Below are 24,825 nucleotides of genomic sequence, written 5' to 3'. Positions count from 1 at the left end.
TTTCAAATTCCACTTGTTAATTGCTGGTGGTTAAGACAGTGATTGACTTATCACTGTCAATCAAAGGAAAAGTGACTTTTCTTTGTTGACCTTGTGTGCTGAATCCTTGCTATAACGGCTGATTAGTTCCATGAGATTTTTGTTGTTGTTGTTGTTCTGGATTTTCTGCATAGGTGATCTTGTCATCCGCAAGCAAAGACGGTTTTATTTCTTCCTTCTCAAACAAAGTAAATTGATTTCCTTTTCTCGTAATATTATCTATGATTTCCAGTATATTGTTTGAAATGAATATTGAGAGGGAATATTGTTGCTTTATTCCTGATCTTAGAAAGAAAGCCTCGAGCTTCTCACCAATGTGATGTTTTCAGTATGTTATATTTTTTGGTGGTGGGGGGTGGGATAGATATTTTTTACCAAGTTGAGGAAGCTCCCTTCTATTCCTCGTTTACTGAGAGATTTTATCATGAGTGGAAGTTGGATTTTGTCAAATCCTTTTTCTGGATCTATTGGTATTATTATGTTATTTTCTGATTTATTCTATCAATGTGATAAAGAAAAGTCACCTTTTAACATTTGATATAACATATAGGTATATTTGCCTATTATCTTATAACCTTTTTTCAGAGTCTTCTTTGTTAACTAAGTTGAAGAATTATTTTCAGGCCTTCCCCTATCTTTAGTATATTGTGTATACTTACTTTATACACAATACTTAGCTTCAGCACCTGGTCATTGATATCATAATATTTTATATACTAACCATATTCTTTCCACTATATATACTTGCCTGTTTAGAAATTTAGTATTTCATTTTTTATGTTAAGAAGAAAAATGAGGAAAACTTGGGTCAACTTTAATGTTATTTCTGTAACATTTTGCAGAATGAGGGAAATTTTCTTCAACAACAGAAAGTATAAATGTTCTTGTATTTAATTTATTAGTTCAAATATTGAGAAGGTAGCAAGTCTCAGTCAAGTGCATAGATGCAGGAGCTAATTCCACAACAATCCTAGAGACCTAGGTAGACAAAACCTAAAATGTACAGGAGAAGAAATAAGACTTTTCTAACAGCACTGTGCTTCTTTAGTTTTAGTAATATCTTTGCAAGAATCAAATAAACTCTTCGTAGATATCCTGGTGTATGCCATGGAAATAGCAGACCTTAATTAACTGGGCTGAGTTTAAAATTCCTTGCTAAGATTTTACCTTTTTAAATGGAAGTAAATATTGTCTTTCTTCTAGCCTTTCCATATTCTCAAACCCCTCAAAAATGAAATTAGAAAACAGCAGATTCCACTTCTTCAGGGCAGCCAATTAAATGGCTGAGGGTATCTGTTTCTGTGTCGTTTTCAGAAACAATTGTATCATTAAATCGCTGAAATTGTAGTGTCAGCAGGAAATAGAGAAAATAGCTGCCAAAGGAAGAAAATAATATGAACGGTACAGCTACTTTGATGTCTTCCTGCCCTCCTTTCCAGTGTCTAGTGCTGAACAAGCTATAAACAAAACGCGAGGGACCAAAGGCTCCTGTGGTTGTTCCTGGGTGACTTCAACCCCCCTTTCAGGGAGATCTGCTTACTGAATTTTCTGCTCCCACCTGACGCCTTAGGCAAACTGCACTAATCGGAGTCTCAGAACACAACTCTTACTTCCATGCCTCTGTTTCTCTCCACTTACTGTTCACTCACTGAATATCCTCACTTCGTATTTTACAGAAATCAATCACTTATTTATTCAGCAAATACCTATTGAAGTCCTACCTTGTGTCAGGCGTGATTCAAGCTGTTAAGATACATCCATGATCAAAGCAGATTAAAAAATATCTTTCTTTGAGGAGTTTACTTGAAGGCGGTAGCAACAAACATTACGTTATATACATAATAAATATTACAATTGTATGTTAAAAGGTGATCAGTAGAGCTTGGAAAGGGAAATCAAAAGTTAGGGGGCTGCATCTTTTAATCAGGTGCTTAGAGATTCGGGACAAAGCGTTTTGCTTAAACTGTCCTGAGAGGCTCATGACACAGTGGTTAAAAAGACAGACTCTTTCACCGGACTGCAAGAGTTCAGAATGCAGCTCTGTTGTTTATTAATTGTGTGACCTTGAAAAACTTACTTTATTTTTTCAGGTCTCGGTTTTCTCATTCATAAAGTGAGGTTAGTATTAGTACCTACTGAGTTTTATTTTACATATAGGATTTAGAACATGGGGTGTAGGTAGTACACGTTATATGCTGCATGTAGTATGTCATACTATGTGAATTCCCTCAATATTATTTTCTAAAAAGAGTGTACACTTCAATTTAGAGACATATGGGTTCGAAAGTCAAAGATGTTTTTTTCTCTGCTCACTAATCTGAACCTCAGTTGTATGATCAGGGAAGTGAAGATAATTCCTACTGCTGAAAGCTGTTTTGAGGATTAGAAGAAAGTTCATTTATATATGGGCAGGAGATCCTTGCTGAATGTCAAGCCTCTTTGCTCTCCTCTTCGAAACCCTGTTGAAATTCTTCATAGTCTTCTTATATTATCTCAGCTGGTGAAACATTTTAAGACTCCTGACATCTCTCATGGTATTTATGGTATATTAACTTCTGCAATATTATAGTTTCTTTCTCCTAAGACATTCTGGATGATTAGAAGCCATTGTTGATTTAATAGCAAATTTTCAAGGGAAAAGAAGCAACACTTTCACATGAAATGCATCCATCAGTATATGATGTGCCCTGATTTTAAAACAATTTAAATGTAAAAAATAAATGCATTATAGAATCAAGGAAATGTGTTAGTTTCTGTTTGCATGTCTTATTGCTGCTAGTGTGTGATTAACTACTCAGAAAAACTGTGATTCGATATATCCTTCTCCTTGCTTAATCCCCTACCCTGAACATTGAGATAACTCAGTAAATATTTCCTAGATGATTTAATGAATGACCACATACCTTATTGAACAAAATAACTTATTTAAATTTATACAAAAATGCCAACTGAAAGTGATCATGAGTTTTTATCTAAGAGGTATTTTTTCATCTAAAATTGCATAAAAATAAGTAAGGACACAGTAAATTTTTAGATATCAATCTGCATGACAAAATTTCAAACAGTTTGTTTCTAATAGGTTGGGAGTCTTTTTGGTGGCAAGTTTTAAAAACTCAATTTGGACTAACAAGCAAAAATGGGGAATTTCCTCTAAGCCCACAGGATTCTAGAAGCATAGTGTATAACACAAGAGCAGGAAAGCAGATGCAACTCTGACTGCTCCACTTTCAGCACCAAATTCTTTATGAACCATCTCTTACTATTTAACTAACCACTTCAAGACTAGTTAAAACACAAAAAAACTGTGAATCAGGGAATTCAGACAGGGAATGGGGAAATGGTTTGCCTCTGCTCCACAGTGTCTGGGCTTTCAGATGGAAGGCTTAATTGCTGGCTTCTCTTCAGTCTGCACTGACAGCCTCCTTCAAGCTAGACAAGCTTCTATTAATAGTCTTCTCAATGCCCTTTTAGCTTCCTCGTACTGCAGGGGTCCAAAGCCATGGCCAGATGGTTTTGCTGCTCCAAACCATGCTGTTTTTATTGCAGTAGCACTCCTCTTTCAAACCAGTATCTGCGTTAGGCAGTATTTGGTGAGAAGCAAGATCACTATGATGATACAAACTATGGCATTTATTATAGGGCTTAGATCTTATGGAATTGTGAGAGTTGATGGAGTAGTTTGCAGAAGGCATCTGCATCTGGTGTTGAGAGTGACATTGCTGTAAGTCAGCTGAACCATTAGGAAGGAAGAATGATTGTGAAGTAGAGGAGAACAAGGACAAAACTGAAATCCACAAGGATGAACTGGGACCCATAAAGATAAACTGGAATTCTTGTATGTTTCTCACCACCACCAATATTGATGGTATAGATGACCTGCAAGAGAAGTTGGCTAACTTTACCAGTGAGCCACACATGCACTTGATGCAAATTTGAGAAGTATGAGAAGGAGAATCAAAGGAGCTTAAGGGGTTACATGGCTTTTTGCTGCCCTCTGCCTATATTAAGTCAGCAGTAGGCCAGGGATGCATGCAAGCTGCTCCTGAGCCTAACACCCTACATCCACCTTTGGAGAGTAAACATTACTACCACTTCTCTACTTACAAAATCGTGTGCAAATATCTCTTGTGGCCAAATCTTACTTCAAACCATTTAGGGAATGAATTTATGGAAAATGTAGTTCCAGTTTAGTTAAGGTGATGCAATAAAATATAGCACAGGCAGTATGCATCAAGAAACTTTAAAATATTGATACCCTTTGATTATAAGCTTTTGAAGTTTTAGAAACCAAATATGGAAAAAGGAACAAAAAATGTGTTGGGGGAAGATTGTAATAAACATAGAAGATTCCTACATTATCTTATAATAACCCACAGTCAGGAGTGCAAATCTGCCCAGGAATTGGTCTCCGTGAGAATTTGCAACTTGCCTTTATTCTCTGCTCTTTGTTACTGCTACTCTTTGTATATCTGTTTTATTATTTTTCCTCTAACAGCAGACATGGTTCCTCTGTACACTCAATCCAGATGTTGGAATACACCATCATTAGCTATTGGGATTTACAAAGTACAACCACACAGAGCAGAGTAAGGTCAATCTCATAGTCCCAGTTAAAATGTCTTAGAAAAGTATTTAAGTTTCCTGTGACAGAGGGCAAGTTCTTGTTATACAAATTGACAGTTACCTCCTCAGAAACATAGATGAAATAAAAAAAGCACAATTTTCAGAAAAAAAAGTACAGGAATATAGTTCTATAGATGTCTACTAGAGTCCAACTTTTATTCCTAATCCAGTGATTTTACATTTCAAATATCTATAAAAGATTTTTCTGTATTATTTAAAATATAAAGAAATGTAGAAAATGTGAATCTTCAGTAGCAACTTAAGTAATTTTTTATACATGACAGACTATGCCATGCGCATCAAAATGGTTATGCAATTTTAAATGGTAGAAACATGTATACAATATCACATTAAATAGAAAAAGCATACAAAATGGCATATGTAGCATGAACTCAATATTGTGAAAGAATATCACTGTAGTAAGTCAGTAAAGTTGTGTGCATGTTGTAAGATTATAGGTGTCATTATTTCACACGTTCTATTTTTCCAACCTTTATATAAGAAAAGTATACTTGTATCTTTTTAAAAACAGGTATTTGTATAAAATGGCTTAACCACAAGACATTAAGCATGCGATGTACTGATTAAGTTGTTTCTAATCAAAAGCCAAGAGAGACAGACAGACCATTTGATTACCTATCAGAAGTGCAAGTAGAAAAAATATTCATGAACAGACTTCATGATTTTACATGCTATCCAATGACATGACAAATAAGCAGCTGAAAACATACAATAACTTTTTAAATTTTATTTTAAAATAGTATTACTACTCTTAAATCCCTTAGAACATGCACATTAAAAAATATATTTTAATTCCCAGTTCGCTTTCTTGAAATAAGTCATGTATTGCCCAAATGGCAAAGAGGGCAATGACAAATAAAACAAAAGGTAACACAGGCAAACAAAAAGCAACCAGTGTGTTTGCGATTTATTGTCAAATGATATAAATTGCACAATGATAAGTTAAGACCTTATCATTGAATATTTTGGAATATTAAAAAGAATATATGGGAAAGATAAAACCACACTTCATAGGCAACTCTCATATTCAACAGAAAAACAACTATAATTTCCAATGTATTAAGCTGGTGTTCCAAATTCATTATTTGGAAAATAGTAGTGAGATTAGTAAAATAAAGATCAGTTTTATCATCAAAAAGCAAGATTCTGACACTGAAGAGCTGATACAGTATATATTTTGCACAGTGTAGCCATATCTGGAGAAGGTAGAAACAATCTCAGGCCATGTTAACAAAGGTGCGAAAGAACTGGGCTAGTCAGAGATCTTCCATCGAAATGACATTTTGTCCTATCAGAGTTGGAAGTGAGCAAGATGCCATAAAACCAAAAGGAATTACTTTCTGATTCTAAAGTTCCAATGAGTTGGACTTCTGTCTTCATGTTTCCTCTATTTCTACCATTAATTAAGAAATTATTCTTTTGCTGCATAGAGATGAATTCATTCCCATCTGAAGGCCTGAACTTATGTAACGTATAATCAAATATTTTCTCTTGGTGCATAACATTTTTAATGTTTACCTCCAGCAAGTCATTCAAAGTCTCGGGAAAACTCTTTAAAATAGCTATGTTGAATCGATTTCTGGAGATAAAGTGACTTTGTTTCTCCATGTGTTTGTTTAAGTTGCTAACAAGTTCCTATGGGCAAAGAGAAGTTTGTAGGGGTGTGCAATGCACATTTTAAAAAATGATTTCTATACTCTCAAATCTTGAAAAACCATAAAAAGCTGCTCTTACTTTTTAAGGCAAGAGCACCCCAGAAACCCCCCTACCAGTTTTACAGTCTCCTGTGCAAATGCATTTTCAAGTACCGGGTGTAATTCAATACACATGATCATGAAAAATAAGAAAATAAAAAACTTAATATGTGTCTCTGAGCTACTAAGAAAATAAGAAAAATAAGAAAATAAAAAACTTAATCTGTGTCTCTGAGCTACTAAGAGTGTATTACAGTATATTTAAATCACTGATAAAAAGAATGGTTCTCAACCTTCCTTAGGATTTCTAAATTTTTTTCTGATCTGTATAGGGCCAACTGAGTCAAAAGTTTTTTTGTTTGTTTAGTGTTGTTTTGCTTTAAAGATGGAAGCTCATCTACAGGGGCAGGAAGCTTACAACATGAAATATATAAGTATTATCTCTTTATTTTATATCCCAACCTACAGACAGGATAATTTTTATAATAAAAACTCCAGAAATTGTTACTGCAATGTACAGCTGCAAGGACCCAAATCTTGTTCTTTCAAATAGGTATCAAAGAATAGACCTGGGTTCTTCAGGAGCCCTGGAACTACCAGACAGCCCTGACAGGAGACCTTCTCAAAAAGTTTGGCATTGGTTTGAGTTCTAGAAATTCTTGTCCTGATGTAAATGACTGGAAAATGAGTATTCACTTTTTTGTACTTTCTTCCTCAGGAGGTTTGGAAAGTGGAAAAAAAATAGTTTCAAATAGCACTTCTTGTAAATCTGAGGTTTTGCCACTGAAATGCATTTCTTTTCCTTCAAACTTGTCTAAGAAATGTTTTAATATATATTTAATTTATGCAAGAGCTCTAGATTTTGTTATGTTTCTCCAGGAAACGGTTTCCAAACCCAATGATATAATATAGAATATTCTAGAGATTGGTGAAAAATTGGTAGTTATTTTTATTAAATCTTTCTGGTACACACACACGTGAGACCTTACAATAATTCCTTTAATTAGCAATTATTGGGAAGTGATAGATAATAGTATGTGGAAACACATACATTTTATGATCAATTTATCTCAAATACTTATGTTAGCCCAACAAATGATAAATGATCTGGTCGTTTCTATTAGATAAATCAACTGCCATGAGAGTAAGTATTTTATTTAGGGTTCGTATTAGCTCTAAATAAAATTGATTGTTTTCTTTTTCATTTCCTGCTGAACTGCAAGATTTACAGAATAGTATGCTATCATATATATATATATATATATATATATACACACACATATATGTGCACAAATGCACACACATATATATCTGTAATATATTTATATATGTAATGTACATGATATATGTGCATGTTTAATGTCTTCAGTGCCTCTTAATTGTCTAGTAGAGAATCAGTTAATTTATCAAACAAATTAAACAACCACAAAAAAATTACAAGATCGTTTGAACATAGATTGTCAGATGTGCAGATGTTTCCTATCAAAGTGTTCACTGAAGTTTTTGTTCTCATAGTTCTATTGTATTCCAAATAAATTTTAGGTTCAAAGAATGCACATTGCCTTAAAGAGCTTGTCTTATTGATATCTCATGATCATAAATAGAAAATTGTCAAAGTACATTTTAAAAGGTAAAAAAACAAACAAACCGGTAGAGAGCCCCTTTTTCTATTTAGAAATATTATAATATACAAAAACACAAAAATGTTTATATAAAATGGATGAAAGAGGCATTTTCTGAGAGTAGGTTTTATAGATGCTTTTCTTCATGCTTCACATTTTCAAAAATGTAAAAGCAATAATTTTTGATATTTTCAAATATTATTTTCATAATTAATATTCAATAAAACCAAAATGTGAAGCAATTTGAAAGTAAAAAATGGGTGTAAAAACAATTTATCTATAATGGACCAGAGATTTAACAACAACAACAACAAACAAATAAATATTCAACTTTTTGGCTTTGGCTCATTAGCATATTTCATAATATCTAACTAATTTCTATTATTTTTCTATCAAAATTCTGTACTATAAGGTACTTTAAACTTTGTTTAGTTAATAAATCAATGTATTCACACAAAGAATATCAAAGTAATGGCTTAAAAATATAATACACATAGCCTTCTGTGTATAGTCAGATTACTAAAATGACCACGTCAGTTTAGAGGAACTCTTTTTTGGACATTAGCATTTTACCTGAATTATGTGACAGCCTTTTATTAAAGAACACAAAAATTGCCCAGTCTAGCTGCTAGCTTTTCTTATTAAAACTAAAATTTTTTTGAAAATTGTCCAATCAAATATGGTAGATTGTTTTTTAGTTTTGTTTGGTTTTTAGCTTAGCAGAAGTGAATATATTTATATAAAAAAGAAAATATATATCTACCTTACAATTAATCAGTGGATCAAAATCTCGGTTTGGACAAACATATCTTTTTAGATACTTGCTCAGATATATTTCTCAATGTGAAAACAAAATGATCTGAAAGCAGTTTCTGTTTGTTACATAAAAAAATTATTACAGTGGGGTGTAAATTTTGTATTCACTTTTGTCAGTTAAACTAATGAAAAATTATCCTTATTCTTTTACAAAATTGTTACTATACATCTGTACTCTATCCAAAATCAATTTTTAACCCAGGCAAAATTCTTCCTTTAGTCATTATTTTGAAAAATCAGGCATCAATTAACTAATTATTGAATATGATATGTATCTTACAGGTTAAACAAATTTAATCAGCCTGCAGTTTGGTTGTTTTGAAAGGTGTAGCTATTGTTTGGTATGTTCAAACAATTAAACATTTTTAATGCCTCATGACTTCTCTTTTATTTCCTTATAATAAAGCTTTTAAAGTATGAAAAAATCAGCAAACTTAAAAATAAATCAGAGATATTGTTTAGCAGTTTGCAATTCCTCATTATTACTTTCTCTTTCCTTGTAATTAAGAGAGTAAACCTAACTTAGTGTTAATTGTTTATAAAGACAGTAGGGTTAAAATTGCATGTAATATTAAAAATAGTTTGTAGTAGTGTGTATTTGCTCAGAATTCATCTTCCCCAAAAAACAAAAAGAGATATGGCCAGAATGGGGATTTAAGTGCTGCCTCAGTAGAACATTAAAACGTTTTTAAAATTGCCTACTGTATAACTAGGCCTTGTATCTCAACATGTGGCCAGCATAACAATAGTAGCAGCATTTCCTGTGTGCTTGTCAGGAATTCAGAGTCTTAGGCCCACCTCACACTTACTGAAACAGAATCTGCCTTTTAACAAGACCCCCAAACTATTTGTTGGAACTTAAGGTTTGATAAACACTCTTCTAGAATACTTGTCTCCATTTTACACTGAGTAGTAGATTGGGGAGGAGGTGAAACCTAGAGCCACCTGGACCTGAGTACCAACTTTAACATATACTAGGGAAATATCATGTTGTTTAACAATAACAACTTAAAAAATGTATTATGGCCCTCATTTAAATAAAGTATAGGAAAGTACATTATATATTGATTAAGATGGTATGTGTGTTGGTAAAATTTGAAATTTTGATTTGCTTTGTTGACTTATACATTTGATTGTTAAATTAGTTCCAAAACTTTGAGAACATGTAGAGATTTCTGATAGCAAATCTTACAGTAAGTGAGGTATCATTATTGATAGAGTATTTCAAAAGCTTGGAATAGAGGTTATGTTTTCAAAATCTAATAATGGTTATACAAAAAGACTGAGTGTTTCTTTGAAGGCGGGGTGATCAATAGGAATACCCTAGATCACAGCAGATTCTATCAGAAAATGCGCTGCATTTGGTGAAATATAGGGATCTTGGAACGCATATGAAGCCATTGAAGGAGTGCCATCTGACTTCACAGTCGGATCAGCTCAATCAACTCTGGAATCAGTGGAGAGACAGATGTCTCAGGCAACTACTATGCATATCCTTTTAATAACATTGATACTAACAATATTATCCATCTACTTGTTGGCCATATAACTTGTCTTTGAATTTCATTCTTGCTATGAAGTCATACCGACTTGCCATCAATTATTTCTGCATCAATAATGAATAAAATTTTCTAAACCCTGTGTGTTAAAAATCTTCATTCAAGCTACTACCAAGGAGATATTATAAGGTATTATTAATATCTGCATTGATACTATTTGTTTAAAGGTTGGTCTAAGAGAAGGGGTGGGCTATCAAAGCATCTAATAATTGGAATTTATTCTTATAAGGGGTTGCATATTGATCAAGTCCATTGTGAAAGCTATAGTCCCTCTCTTTAGAGAAGAGCCAATCAATCCTCAGTGTTCTCATACTTTATAATTACAGGAGAGTGAGAGGAGAGACATTATAATTTACAAAGGGTTTGCTTTATTTAAAGAAAGACATGAATCAATATAGCAACCAATTTTAAATGTTTCCAGGTTCTGCTAACTTAATTCAATGGAAGGCAATTATCCAATTTATTTTTAATTTCTCTTAAAAATTCTCACAAGTTAATTCTCAGAATTTTTTTTCCTTAGAGAACAAGTGCTCTTCTATTCTGTCCCTCAATAGCTTGTCTTAAAATCATTTTCTGAGTAGCTGTTCTGATCACTTGTAAACTTGGAGGTTATCTCTTCTTTTTGATACAATGTGGAATAAATAATACACTTATTAATATATTATATCCCAATATTTAAAATCTCCAGACAGGAAAGTATGCATAAATCGTCTTTCAGCAGACAAAGTTTAAGATTAGAACTAAATAGCAACTGCATATTAAACAGATGACATTTATTATCAATATTAAATTGCCAAATTCAGTCATTCAGTGGACTCTCCTTTCTCTCCATTGATGCCCCTCCATCTTTGCCCAGATGTAGAAAGAGTTGCAGTTACTTTGGGAGGCCGAGGCAGGAGGATCTCTTGAGCCCAGGAGTTTGAGACCAGTCTGAGAAACACAGTGAGACCTTGTCTCTAATAAATACATAAATAAATAAACAAAATTAGCCAGGCATAGTGGATTGCACCTGCAGTCCAAGCTACTTGGATGGCTGAGATGGGAGAATTGTTAGAGCCCAGGAGGCTGAGATTGCTGTGAGGCAAAATCACACCACTGCATTCCAATGGAGTGAGACCCCATCTGAAAAAGAGGAAGGGAATGGGAGGGGAGGGGAGGGGAGGAGAGGGGAGGGGAGGGGAGGGGAGAGAAGGGAAGGGGAGGGGAGGGGAGGGGAGAGAAGGGAAGGGGAGGGGAGGGGAGGGAAGAAGAAAGAAAGAAAAAGAAAAGAAAGAGAGAAAGAAAAAGAGAAAGAAAATAGAAAGAATTGATGTATATTTAGGTTTTAACTGAATAGTTAAAATGTTCATTTTTCCTCTTTAAATGTATTTTGAAATAGATTGTTTAGAAGTAGAAGCAATAGTTTCTTCAATAGCTTGTTAGGTAAAATTATGAATCAAATAATTTTGTTGTAATGCTAATTTTAATAGAATCTGTATCTTCCCCATAGTTACTTTTATTCCTGAACATTCCCATACATTAGAATTGGTTTTATTCAGAACACTTCCCTAGGTAACACAGATCAACATCTTCCTTCCTGTTCCCAGATGAGGAGTCCCTCCCTGATGACATGTTGGCACTTGGATTTCTTCACCTTTCCCAGGTCCAAATGTGTTTATTTTAGTCCTTTAAAATGTACTATTTCTTGCTGTCTCTCTGCTAAGTGAACTCTCAGATACAAAACCAATTGGTACCAATGTGCAAATTGGTTGATGTGATAATTGCCATCTCCCCTCTTTTTGAATATATTTTTGCTTTTTAATTTATTTCTAAATATTTTAACCCAAAGAAAATTACCACAAATGGAAGTGACAAGTATAATAGCAAACTTATATATTAAGGTTTGAGGGAGAAAATTGATTTGGCATTTCTTTATTAAAGTTCAGTTGTAGATGCAAATATATAAGCTAGGCTCGAGTATCCTAAAATCACTGTATATTATAGGTTTGACATATTGTCCCAAGACAACAGAAAAATCCTTAGTTCCTGTGTGAAATAGTCAGATTTGGGGCTAGCATGTAACCTCCTGACTCAGCCTGCAATTGTGTCTTCCTAACATAGCTTATTGTGTACTAGCTTTAGCTTGCATTTGTTGTTTTGTGGTTTCCTTCACTTTTATTTTTTTATGCAGTTAAGATGTGCCAACACTGCACCATTTTATCATGTATAATCTTTTTTATGGGTCTGTCATGCATTAAACTGACTGCAAGATGTTCATATTCATGGTTGTGAAGAGTACATGCTGGTCTTTCACAAGCTGATCAAATATTTAATGGGGGTTTGGTTTGAGCTTGTTAGAAACACTAATGTAATAACCCTCATGCGGATGGTTCAGAGCATAAATTTTCCTCACTCCGTCTTTTGATTTGAATTTATTTTGAAATCCTGGGACATACTCTTCACCATACTACCATTTCTGCCATTATATTTAAGATTTCAGTTACATTAATATGCATCTCTAACTAATAAATCTTCCTTCCTGGCTTTTTTGACACATTCATTTCAAAGTTAAAATGCTTAAGAGAGTAATGCGAATTCCTCTTCCGAAAAAAACTGAAACATTTACCCATGATATTCAGTAATGTTTTTGCAATGATCATTTGAATTTCATAGGAGTCAGCCATTCTAATCAGCTGTTTCTTAATTCTATATATTAATCTACTTGGGTGGCAGTTTCAAACATAAATGTGACCTACATAAATATCATCCCACCATTGTTTCTTTTAAATTTTTAATAAACAAATAAAAGAGTTGATTTTGTTTTAATACTTAAAGATTATTTATGTTGCTATCCATTCCACCCCCGCTTTTAAAACCCCTTCAAAATCGTTTCATTGCTCTGATTTGAAATGAAATCTATACTCAGACAATCAACCACATTCCACTTTGTCTTGTTATTTTTCCAACCTAATCTTGTTTATCTTATCTTCCAAACCATATTAAGCTTCTCTGTTTCTTTGGTCCCCTCAGTTTCTTCTTTATAATTCTGTTTTCTGTTTGTTGCACCTACTACTCATTTTGCATTTACAATTCTTTCCTCAACCCTTCATTTGACCAATCAATGCCCTTCTCACTCTTCATATTGCAGCTTCAATATTATTTCCTCAGAGATGTTTTCTCTGACTGCAGTGCTAACTCTGCAGTTTCTGTTAGGAGTGTATCAGACACTCTCTTACAGCAGTTCTCATTGTTTTTTTTCCCCTTTGGAGTAGTTATTATCATTATAAATGATTGCTTAAATAATTATTAGTGTTGCTGAAATCATTATTAATGTAAAGTATGTCGCATTACTAAAGCTGCATGAGAATGGAGGCTATCTTGTTTTCCACCCAGTGTGTAAATTTTAGCCAATACTCTACACACATTTCATGAAAGAATCAATGGGCTAGGCGTAGTGGCTCACATCTGTAATCTCAGCACTTTAGGAGGCCAAGGTCGGATTGCTTGAGCCCAGGAGTTCGAGACCAGCCTCGGCAACATGGAAAAACCCTGTTTCTACAAAAACCACAAAAATTTACTGGGCATTGTTGCACACATTTGTAATCCCAGCTACTCGGGAGGCTAAGATGGGAGGATCACTTGAGCCCAGAAGGCAGAGGTTGCAGTGAGCCAAGATCATGCCACTGTACTCCAGCCTGGTGACAGAGTGAGACCCTGTCTCAAAGCAAACAAACAAACAAAAATCAATGAATGAATGGAAGGAGCCTCAAATCAATGGTCTCAGTAGTAGTTTCTAAGAACTGATAAAGAGAAAACAATAGCATTAGTTGAATTTTAATGATGTCATTAAAATATGAGACCTCTCATATTGCAGGGTTATATTTTGGGTTATAGGATTGAATTCTTTGGGTAATAATAACCTAAATTTTTATACTGATGAAAGAGATGTTGCAATATCAGAAGATACATTCGTTTTTGCAAAAGGTGCCTACCAAGCACATGACAAAGCAGTTGACTAAAAAATAATGATGCTTTATTCTACCTTTTTAGGAGGAAACCTGGCCAAGATTTGCTAAATTATCAATCCATATATTAATAAAGGTTAGTGTGATTAAAACAGGGAAAATATTCAAGCTTATGTAGTCAGCTTTTTTTCCCCTCAGCTGTAGGCATTGCTGACTTAAGCAAGTCTGAGACATTATTTATCAATATTAAGTGCAGAACTGCTCAATTGCTAGGTTCTTCATAATGCAATGTACATGTGTAACTGGAATCATTATTTATAATTGAAATTGATGTTTAGACATCCCTTGTTAAATAGTTGCATAGAGATGTAAATTATTCTTTAAAAAGTCAAGAGTTTAGAACAGAAAGCTGAAATCTATAACATGTAAAGATTTTAGAATTTCAATTGGCAAGCTACTTACTGATCCACTAAAATGTCAGATAATGCATTTTAGGCATTTTATTAGAATTTCCATGAGAAATGACATTTGGTGTTTAGAAATAATTCACTGAAAAATATATTTTTTAGGTTGGCACTGTTTGAACTGAGTAGGTTGATGATAATATGAATTAACTTATGGTAGGAAGTGAAAACATGTTACTACCAAGCATTTTAGCTAAACCCCTAGCCTGACATCCTATGTTGTAACAGAGTTTTTGTACATATTTAGCTGTCTCTCGTGATCTCTCTTTAAGTACTCTTTATTGCTATAAATTAGTCTTTATTAATATCAATAAGAATGTAAAAGCATAGGTTTTACAAACACTAGATGAGTAGTTATACTTCTAACTGCATTCATCATCATTCATTTTCAATCCTGTATATCCATTCCGTTATTTAAAAAAATGTGGTGAAAATGAATTTTATGTTAAGGTGTGACTCTCTTTAACAAAAACTAATTGAAAGAAAGAGATGATATCTTTACATCACTTCCTTGTTTCCCCTTACAAAAAATATGATCCAGAGATTTTTAAAATTAGTTTGGTAATTGAGCTTGTAAAATGAGGTTCTAGAGAGCACCCACAGAAGCTGTCATCCATATAGTAGATAATGCCTTGCACATATTTTGAATTTCAGATGTACTTATTAGTTGAGTGAATCTCAGATATGAAATCTAATGCAATAACTGACTGTAAACCACAGTATGAAATGAGCACTAAGTCATCTGCAGAGGAGAAGACTGTTAAGTGCAGTTGTTTGCAAGCTTGAAGAGACAGAATCAGAAAGTAATTACAGTTTCAGAGACTGATTAATAATGCATTACAGCTAAGGTAGTCACTGTCCCCTGCCCATCCTTTTGAATCATCATATAATAAGTAGCTTATGCTGGTGGTGTCTTGCCAATAGACACAGTGTGCGTTGCCACATTTATTTCTATTTTTCTATAATGAATGATTTCTTAAGAGTTGGTCACATGATTCCATAAAAGATGGAAGGGGAGAAAGAGGGGAAGAAGGAGAGGGAAAAGCAGCAGCAGCAACAACATGTTTTTGTTTCCTGGCTGATAGCTCTCAGAAGTCTTCTGGTAGTTCTTAGCCCTATTTTCAGACTTATGAGTAGAATCACCATACTAGGCAGATGTTGCTCAATGCCTGACAAGGAAACATTCTCTGCTACTACATAATACCTTAACTACCAAATTTAATCTGATTTGAGCCAGCAGTGTTCCCATTAAAGACAAATATGGCTGGATGTGGTGGCAACCACCCCTAGCCCCAACTACTCTGGAAACTTAAGTGGGAGGATCACCTGAGCTAGGGGGCAGAGGATGCAGTGAGCCAAGATCGTGCCACTGCACTCCAGCCTGGGTGATAGAGTGAGACCCTGTCTCAAAAAATTAAATAAATAAATAAATATAAACGAACTCCCTTCTGTGGACTCCAATGTAGCTAGCAGTAATCCTATAACCCAGTTCCAGGTGGTGAGAAGTGAGGGAACATACACAGAATACGGGTCCTGGGAAAGCAATTACTTTGCTGACTAAGAGGCACGGGTAAGGCCTGACGGGAACCTGAGGCCCTTTAATATGTCCTCTGTTTTACTTCCTGTTACCCTGATTCCACACCTGGAGGTGAAGTAACTATATTATGGTCATAAGGATTAAAGTTAAGAATCAAAGATACACAAGAGGACACTTGATCTAGCCTAGACCCCTGGTAATTTTCTGAGCAGATGCTGATGCCCATCTTCTGACTTCTTGTTATGTGAGAAAAATTATCTATTTTATTATTGTACCACTGGGGTTGACTTAACCAAAGGCAGTCACGTAAAATCTTCATGGATGTAAACAGAAGGAATGCAGGAAGAGCAAGCCTCCATATTGCAATAGTCATGACTTATAAGTAGATATCTATTCTGTCAAAATATTAGCCAAAGTTTGTAAGTTTGATTTCATTTACTAGGGGAAAAAACGTAGCAACAGAACAAGTAGTAGACAGACATATGTAAAATGACTAAATAGTTAAATTTTAGATAAAAAAACAGGACATGCAAAAATAGGTTTTAGTAGTTATTCAAATGTCATATCTATTGTGAAAATTAGAGAAGTGAAGCTGGAATTTAGGATACCTTAACTATCAAGTATTAAAAATCATCATTATACATATGTATCACATGTGAGCCAAAGGTAAATTTTCTAGTGTAAGTAGAATAGTCAGACGTTATACATGGCCAGCTTATAGACCACATTGGGGCCAAATGATTTCGACAATGAAAGTAATTTTTTTATTTGTGTTTGCTTTAAAAAATCTGTTTATTAATTTTAAATTTATATGAATAGGTTGCAACATTTAAAAATTAAGATTGCTTATAAAAAACAATAGATTTTTAAAAATCTTCTCTCAAAAACATTAAAAGATTTAGCAACATGGGGTCCACCTTCCAGTAAAGTTTAGTTGCAGTTGAAGATCAACTGCATATTCTTTTAAACTTGCTGTGTTATCTTATTACTTTATACTCTCTTCTTCTGACTCTAGTTTCCAGGCATTATACTTTCCTTTTTTTGCTCCATATAAGTATTCAAAACTGCCAAATTTGTTTGACAAAAGAAAATTTTACCTAAATGTGCTAATGAAAGTTTGGCCTATGAACAAAAGTAAAATTGAAATATTTTAGTAACATAATCTGCATGGTTTCACATTATCATTAAAAAGGAGAAACTTATTCAAATCTACTTTCAAATGATAGCATAAAAATCTAATTAACTAATTAAATTAGATAGGTAATACAGGCAAAAAACACTAGCCCCCAATTATATTTTTGTTATGGTTTACCTGTACATGACAAAATGCTTTATATAGGCTAGGTTTTTGCATTAGTGTTTCTATATTGCTCAAAATGTTAGGCTCAATAGCCAGTGTCACAAGGGAAATAAACCCACTGTGTACGGAATTACATTTTCTAAACAATGTATTAGCAAACTAATAGGGATCTCTGTACAGAAAATAGAATTGCTTGCTTTGTGAATGCATGCATGTTTTGTTTTTTGTTTTGTTTTTAATTTTTTTTAATATTTAGAGACTCCTTAAAAAGCAATTGGGATCAGGTTTAAAATCTATAGTTAAAACACTCAGCCTACAGTGTAAATTGTTAGCTTCTTATTCACTTGGGAAATTACTTTGCTGTTGTTGAATCTGTATTTACCAAGCCAAGATTGAAAGCATTCTGGCTGCAATGCTAAAATCTTAATCTAAAAAATCTTTTTTAGATTAGAATAATCTCTTACTAATATCTGATAGCAGTTGCTGTTAGTACTATATGTGGAAAAATGTATGGATATGTCAGAAAAGGTACATTAAAAATCTTCTAATTTAACATTTTGAGAATTGTGTTGATTCACTATAAAGCTGGCTTTGAACATAAAACCATAGTGAATTTTCTGGAAAAAGACCAAATGAAATCATTCACAATTCAAAAATGCAAATATAGACCAAGTATATTCCTTTGGCTTTTCTTTTTGTTTTCTGTTATTTATCCAATATTATTTAATCTATTATAATGTGAATCATAATACATAACCCACTCATGCAAGGACTATTCTGAGTTGGGGTTTTTCTCTCATTTGCCCTTCAAGTATTAGGTTGTTGGGAAAGTAATTGCGGTGTCTTCTGTTACTATAACTAAGGTTGCATTTTCCAAATGTCAAAGGACCTTTACATTTATAGTAGAGGACAATATGCTAAATTATTAAATTATTGGGAATAGTATACTTTTCTTATATTTTGTATAATAGTGCACAGTCGTCTTTATCATATATGTGTGTGTGTCTATATATATGTATATCTATGTATATATACATAGATATACATATATACATATGTATGTGTATATATGTATATATATATATATAGACACATACACATAAATTACCTTAGCATCATATATATATATATTACAACACCATTATAAATTTAAAACCCAAAATACTATGTTCAGCTCACTTTGTGTCTTAAACTATCTCTTATTTTCTTATGAATTCCACAGTGGCTAATCTGGATCCAAAAGCGATTCCAAGTTTTATGATAAACCTAGAGAAAATCATTATGAAATTGATGCAGCATGAAACTTTCATGAGAAAGACTCATTTCTTAAAATATACTACTATAAATGGCATAAGCCACCAACTAACAAATGAGCCACTCTCTGGGGATCAACCAGCTTGAGTGCAAAATTGGTAGAGGCTGCCAAAGGAAGGTTAATTCTTCTCAATAGTTCCATGGGGCCTATTGCTGTGCCCTGCGGAACTGTAAAGGGCTAATGGAGCAAGGTATGTTTTACTTTAACCCACACAAATTATTTGTCGTATCTTAGGAGACATATTAAGGATGAATTAATGTTAAACATTTATGATAGTAAAATTGAGACACTCTAAAACATGCATAGAAATACAATGCAAACACATTGTTTAAAAGTTCCAGAAATTTGGTTTTGAGTTACTGTCATATTGCATATAATAAATTTAAAAGTAACCCCCAATTAATAATCTAATTGTTTAATTGTTTCATATATGAAACCTATAGTTTCATATAGACATTCCAATTTCAGAAGAGGTAAGTATACTGATAGATGTAATAAAGTTAAGACATTTATGATATTAGGTCCTGAAGTTTACAAAATAAACTACATTTATTCTGCTGATGATTTAGATATATCTCATATTTTATAGGTAGGCATACCTTACAGCTGGCTTCCCAAATCATGCAATCTGTGATTGACCTTATTTTAAAAACAAACATTTTAGAGATGAAACTGAAAGCTCAAATGATAAAAGTGACACAAGCATAATAATCAAGCCATTCATGCTAGATCTCTCATATAAAAAATGAATCATAATTATATATTTTCTAATCATGAAAATGAACTACATGTGCATACATTTTAATGTCAACTTGCTATTTCTCTTTCTTTTCTCTATATATGTTTGTAAATCTTTTCTATCCACTACCTCTCACATCATTCCCAGATGCACTTAAATGGCAAGGAAGTAGAGTTAGGAGGTACAAATCTATATTATCTTGTCCCACAGCCCTGAAGAAACTTATGACCAAGCACTCAAATACCAGAGAAAACCTGCAATTCTGAAAGGATGAGTGTGATACTTGGCTGTATAATAATGTCAAAAGAGAAAACTTGGAATTTGAAGACATAACTTCTAATCCTGCCTCAACCATTCATTCAAAATAGTCTATCAATAGTGGCTAGTGGATAGTGTTGATCACTGTTGTACTCTTGCAAGTTTCCCCCCTTGGCTTGTGTCATGATGTATACTCATGATTATTTATTTATCTGTATCATCTATTATCTCTATCTAATCTATAACCTATTTATAATTTCTCACTGACACAATGAAAACTACTATCAAATATGTATTTCAGCCTTGAGCTCTCTCCCAAACTTCAGGAATGCATTTCCAATTGCCTCACAGTCCCTTCTAATATGATGTGCCAACATAAACTCAAATTTTCTATGACAAATCTAAACTCATCGTCCACTGCCTACTCAGGAGTTCCTGATTCTTATTTGTTTACTTGTTCCTGCTATATTTCTTTTCATCAAGATTCAAAATCCCAAAGTCATCTTCTCACTTCTTAAATCTCATCCTTCACCTGTAAAAAAGTGACAAATCCTTTGATTCTGTTTCTAAAATATTTGGAAATTTCACCCTTTTTATTCCAACCTTGTCCTGGTTGGAGGCTTTTTCTCCTGTCCTATCATAATAATTTTCAATCTGTTCTTCACACTTCCAGAATATCCTTTCCCATACAAATGCATTTTGTATGTATCTACCATATTAATATTTCTACAGAATAACTGACTGTTTCTTTCCTGCTTCGTAACATTCTGAATATCTTCTCTACCTGAAGATTAAAATTCACATTTATTAGGCTAATGAAAAAATTATTTTAAACTATCTCTCACTTATAAGCTTCTGTTACCACTCCTGTATCATCACGTCCATTTATTAAATCTCCACAGCTTAAAGACCACTACCTCCATGAAGTTGAACAGAAAGCACTAGGGTGATAAATGATCTGTCTAGTCTGAACCGTGAGACTTTTCCTTACCTCTTTCCCTATACCTCTCTATGGCACCTATCGTAATGGCCCATGCATCATTTATACATCTCTCTCTGCATAGTAAGGGAAAGGTATTATGGAAGGCCTCTAACAGGCGGTGTTAGTTTAGCTAAATTTTGAATGGTGACTGAATTCAACACACAGTGAAATTCAGTAAAAACACATCGGAAGCAGATGCAAATGCATCCAAGTGGCTGGTCCTGGGAACTGGCAGTAGACTTAATGGCTATACATGTAGATTTAGGTGGAGTTTATGCCAGATTCCAACCTGGGAGCCACACATAGATGGCTTTACATCCCTTGCTGAGAAATAGCTACTTTATCTTCAAGTTGATTAAGAGCTATATGCAGGATTTTAAATTTTGAAATCCTATGATAATTGATAGTTTTGTCTTGGGAAAACTATTCTAGTAGCACTGTGAAGTGAAAATGAACAAAATAAGGAGTATTAGGGACTTTTTAAAAATTTGTGTGTGTGTGTGTGTGTGTAATCTGTACCTGTCTCTGACCATGTCTGCTGTCTTTGTACATATTGTTTATTTTTAGGTTTGTATACTCTCTCTTTTCTTCAAATATATAATTATGAGCTACAGCAACCTATATGAATAGTGCATAAGAGAAAGAGTCCAAGTTAACACTGTCAAGCTGTGTGTAATTATCAGGAATTATCGGGATGGTTTCCTGGACTGAATTGTCAAATGGTGGAAGTTATGCTCTTATGTAGGCTCCTTTCAGCATTTCTTTTCAAATTTCTGTTCCAATCTGGTCTTCAGAAAGGTTTTGCCTATGGAGATTGCTAACAGTAAAGCCTGCGGAGAGAGGAAGAATGGAGAGGACATATATCCAATCATTATTGATAATCAAGGTTGTGTCTGGTTATCTTCAACCACTATGTTTTCATAGTGTCAGGACCATTGACAGACTAAAGGATGGGTTTGTTTTACTCTGTATGTAATTATAGTTACCAAGAATGTGTTCGTTCTTCACAAAAAGTAATCTAGATGACAAGAAATTTTATATTTCATAAAATTACATTTCAAACTTTCACATTTGCTCCTGAACTTTAGCACAAATACAACAAAATTTCTCTTTCCAAGGTCAGTGAAATGGTACCTTTGGATTTCCTTAGATTGTTTTTTGGGTGACTTGCTACTTTAGCATCATTTTTATTGTCTTACTCTCTTTTCTGTTTATATGTTTGTCATGCTTTTATATATAAAGCACTTATGTTTTAGAGATAGATAATATATGCTATTCAGTTACACAAACATAGATGATAAGAATGTTACCATTCATTTATTTTCATATCAGGTAAAGGATGCAGGCAAATCTTTTCTTTAAGCAAGAGTTTATAAATTTTAAAACTTCTTATGATAGGTTTTTATAAAATACCTTATTAGAGTTTTCCTATTGAAAATCCGTTTCTAATCCAACAAAACTAAAAGGCGTCTATATATTCTACTTCATGTTAGTAGTAATCAATACTTCCATATTCCTACAGTACTAAAATACTATTTAATTGTGTATGTGCTTACTTTATCAAAAACAAAATCAATATTTTAAGAAATCAATGTTCTTTACAAAATAGCCTCAAATGGATGAGGAAGAGTGGATAGCCCCAATATGCAGAAATAATTTACTTTACCTTTTTATTCCAATGTTGGCACTGGAGTATGTAATGAAAAATCAGTTATAACATAAAATCTCATAATAGGCATTCAAAGATTCTCTCATCAAATGACAGTACCAAATCATGTCTGACTACTGACTATATTCCATCTCACTGGACTCTGGTTGTTTTTATTTTTTTAAGTAGCCACAACTCTCAAAGGTGAATAATAACAATGAGGTGAGATGAGACCTTATTGGTCACTGTGTGAGAAACACAAGCAATTAACTGGCAGAACCAGATGTGTCTGTGAATGTTGGAGGCCAGGGAAGAGAGAGAGAAAAAAAAAGTGGTAAATAAAGCTCTATGACATCTCTCCCAATGGGCAGTCCTGACAATTCGATCTCACACCAAGCTCACCTGAAAAAGCATTTTATGTCATCAGAATTACCGCGTGTGGTTAACAGTGAGGATGGAAAGCACATTATGGCTAACCTAGTTATCTTTGTATTGTAAATTGATCTTATAATTCCTAGAGTTGAGTCTGATTATACAAGGAATAATACAATGCCACTACTATCAATAACCTGAAAAAATATGCTAACTTTTCTGTTTTAAAGGTAGCTTTATGTGCTTTAATTTTCATTTGGTTCTCACAACAGCTTGGTGCCCAACACATAGTAGGTACACAATAAATAGTTGCTAAATAAATGTGTAAATGCAGGATAGAATGAGCATACAAATATCCCAATGAAGCAGAGAGTGCAATTATATTTATCTTGATTTTGTAGATGAGAGAACTGAATTTCAAAATAAGATGAGGATTCTTTGAAGATTATTTGGCAAAATGAGTAGCGAAGCCAAAACTAATACTTATGTCTTAGATTCTCAGAAGAGATTGCATTTTTGTTTAGATTTTCACATTTTTTAGTCATTCTGGTACATATAATTATAAGCTTCCTTAGTTCTTTTCTTGATCAGTATAAAGGTTAACTTTAAGTTTAGAAAAAGGCATTGTGAAGACTAAATTTTTCTCCTATGGGTTAGCAATATTAAGAAAGACAAAGTTAAGACAGTATAAGTAAAACCAGCACCTTCCTAGGTTTTTTCCCTAGTACTAGAGAAAAAGGAAGGGAAGACTGCTGATTGCATACCACATGTAAAGCATAAGTAAAATAAAAAGTAAAAAAAAAATCGGTATATAAATATTCCCAATTTGAATATGCAAAGTTGGATCTTGCATCCACATTTATAGGAAACTGGCCAAATGAAGTTTGCAATCAAATTGGTTCCCATTTACCACACATGCTTCTTCTGTGGCAAAGAAAGTTTGAATGCATAGGTACAGCAGGTTACTGGAACAAGCAGCTTGTTCTCAAAGTTCTTTTGGACTCAGCTGTCCTCTGCCCAGAGTAACAACATATTAATGAAAAAAATCATCTTTGCAGCCTTTTGCGTTTAACAACTATTCAGACTTGTCAAAATTTCACTACAGCTGTCTGTTATTAGAAGACAGTGTTACACGTAAGTGTGTCTATTCAGGAATGCATACATATACCAAAGGCTTATCAACAAAAGGAGACAATAGAGTTTCAGCCAAAAGCTTTAATGTCCATTGGGATTCGTGTAAACACTTTCCCCAAGAACCTGGGAAAGATCCAAATTTCCATTATTCCTTTCCCTTTAAAATTACATTTTTTTTTCTAACTCTCAGTGAATATGTTTCTTCCCTTTCTTTTGTCACAGAAACATTACATTCCTCATCAACCTCTTTCCTAAACCTTCCATTTATCTGCATGAGGTTTATATTGAACTTGACTAGATTTTGTGCTTCTTTATTAAAATAGGCATGACTAATAATGATAACGTTGAATTTTTTTTCTTTTGATAAGCCTCTGTACTTCTGAAATCATGTTTTCCATTTTTGTATCAGTTGGCAGGGGGCAAGAGAAGGTATATTTTGCCTTGATATTTCTTTTGCTATGTACATTAATGAACAATCTTTTTCTTTTACTGGCTTTTCTCTTAAATGCTACATACATTTCTCCTCATACCATTTTTAGAATCTTCAGTTTGTCCCTGAAACAAATGAGAAGAGTTGGACATGGATTTTATTGCTTTACACTATTCTTACATGATTTTAAGTCTCCATAAAGGCTTCTTGTTCGTGTGTCCAAAAAGAGAGTAATTGGTTAATAAAACACCATTTTACCAATTGTGAGGAAGAGTTCCCAGCTTTGATTGTATGATACCTCAGGGGATCTCCAGTTATCTCAAAAAGT

The 24,825-nt window shown here is 33.5% G+C and overlaps 1 protein-coding gene across 38 annotated transcripts in view; it reads left to right on the top strand.

Annotated features, from left to right (window-relative positions):
- Nucleotides 1–24,825, top strand: part of PTPRD (protein tyrosine phosphatase receptor type D) — a 2,298,757-nt gene that overhangs the window by 278,182 nt on the left and 1,995,750 nt on the right. The gene's annotated exons all lie outside the window — the stretch shown is intronic.

This window comes from Homo sapiens, chromosome 9 (genome assembly GCF_000001405.40).
Source record: "Homo sapiens chromosome 9, GRCh38.p14 Primary Assembly".
NCBI classification, from domain to species: domain Eukaryota; kingdom Metazoa; phylum Chordata; class Mammalia; order Primates; family Hominidae; genus Homo; species Homo sapiens.
Note: the sequence above shows the minus strand (reverse complement) of the source record. Positions and strands in the feature narration are given on the sequence as shown.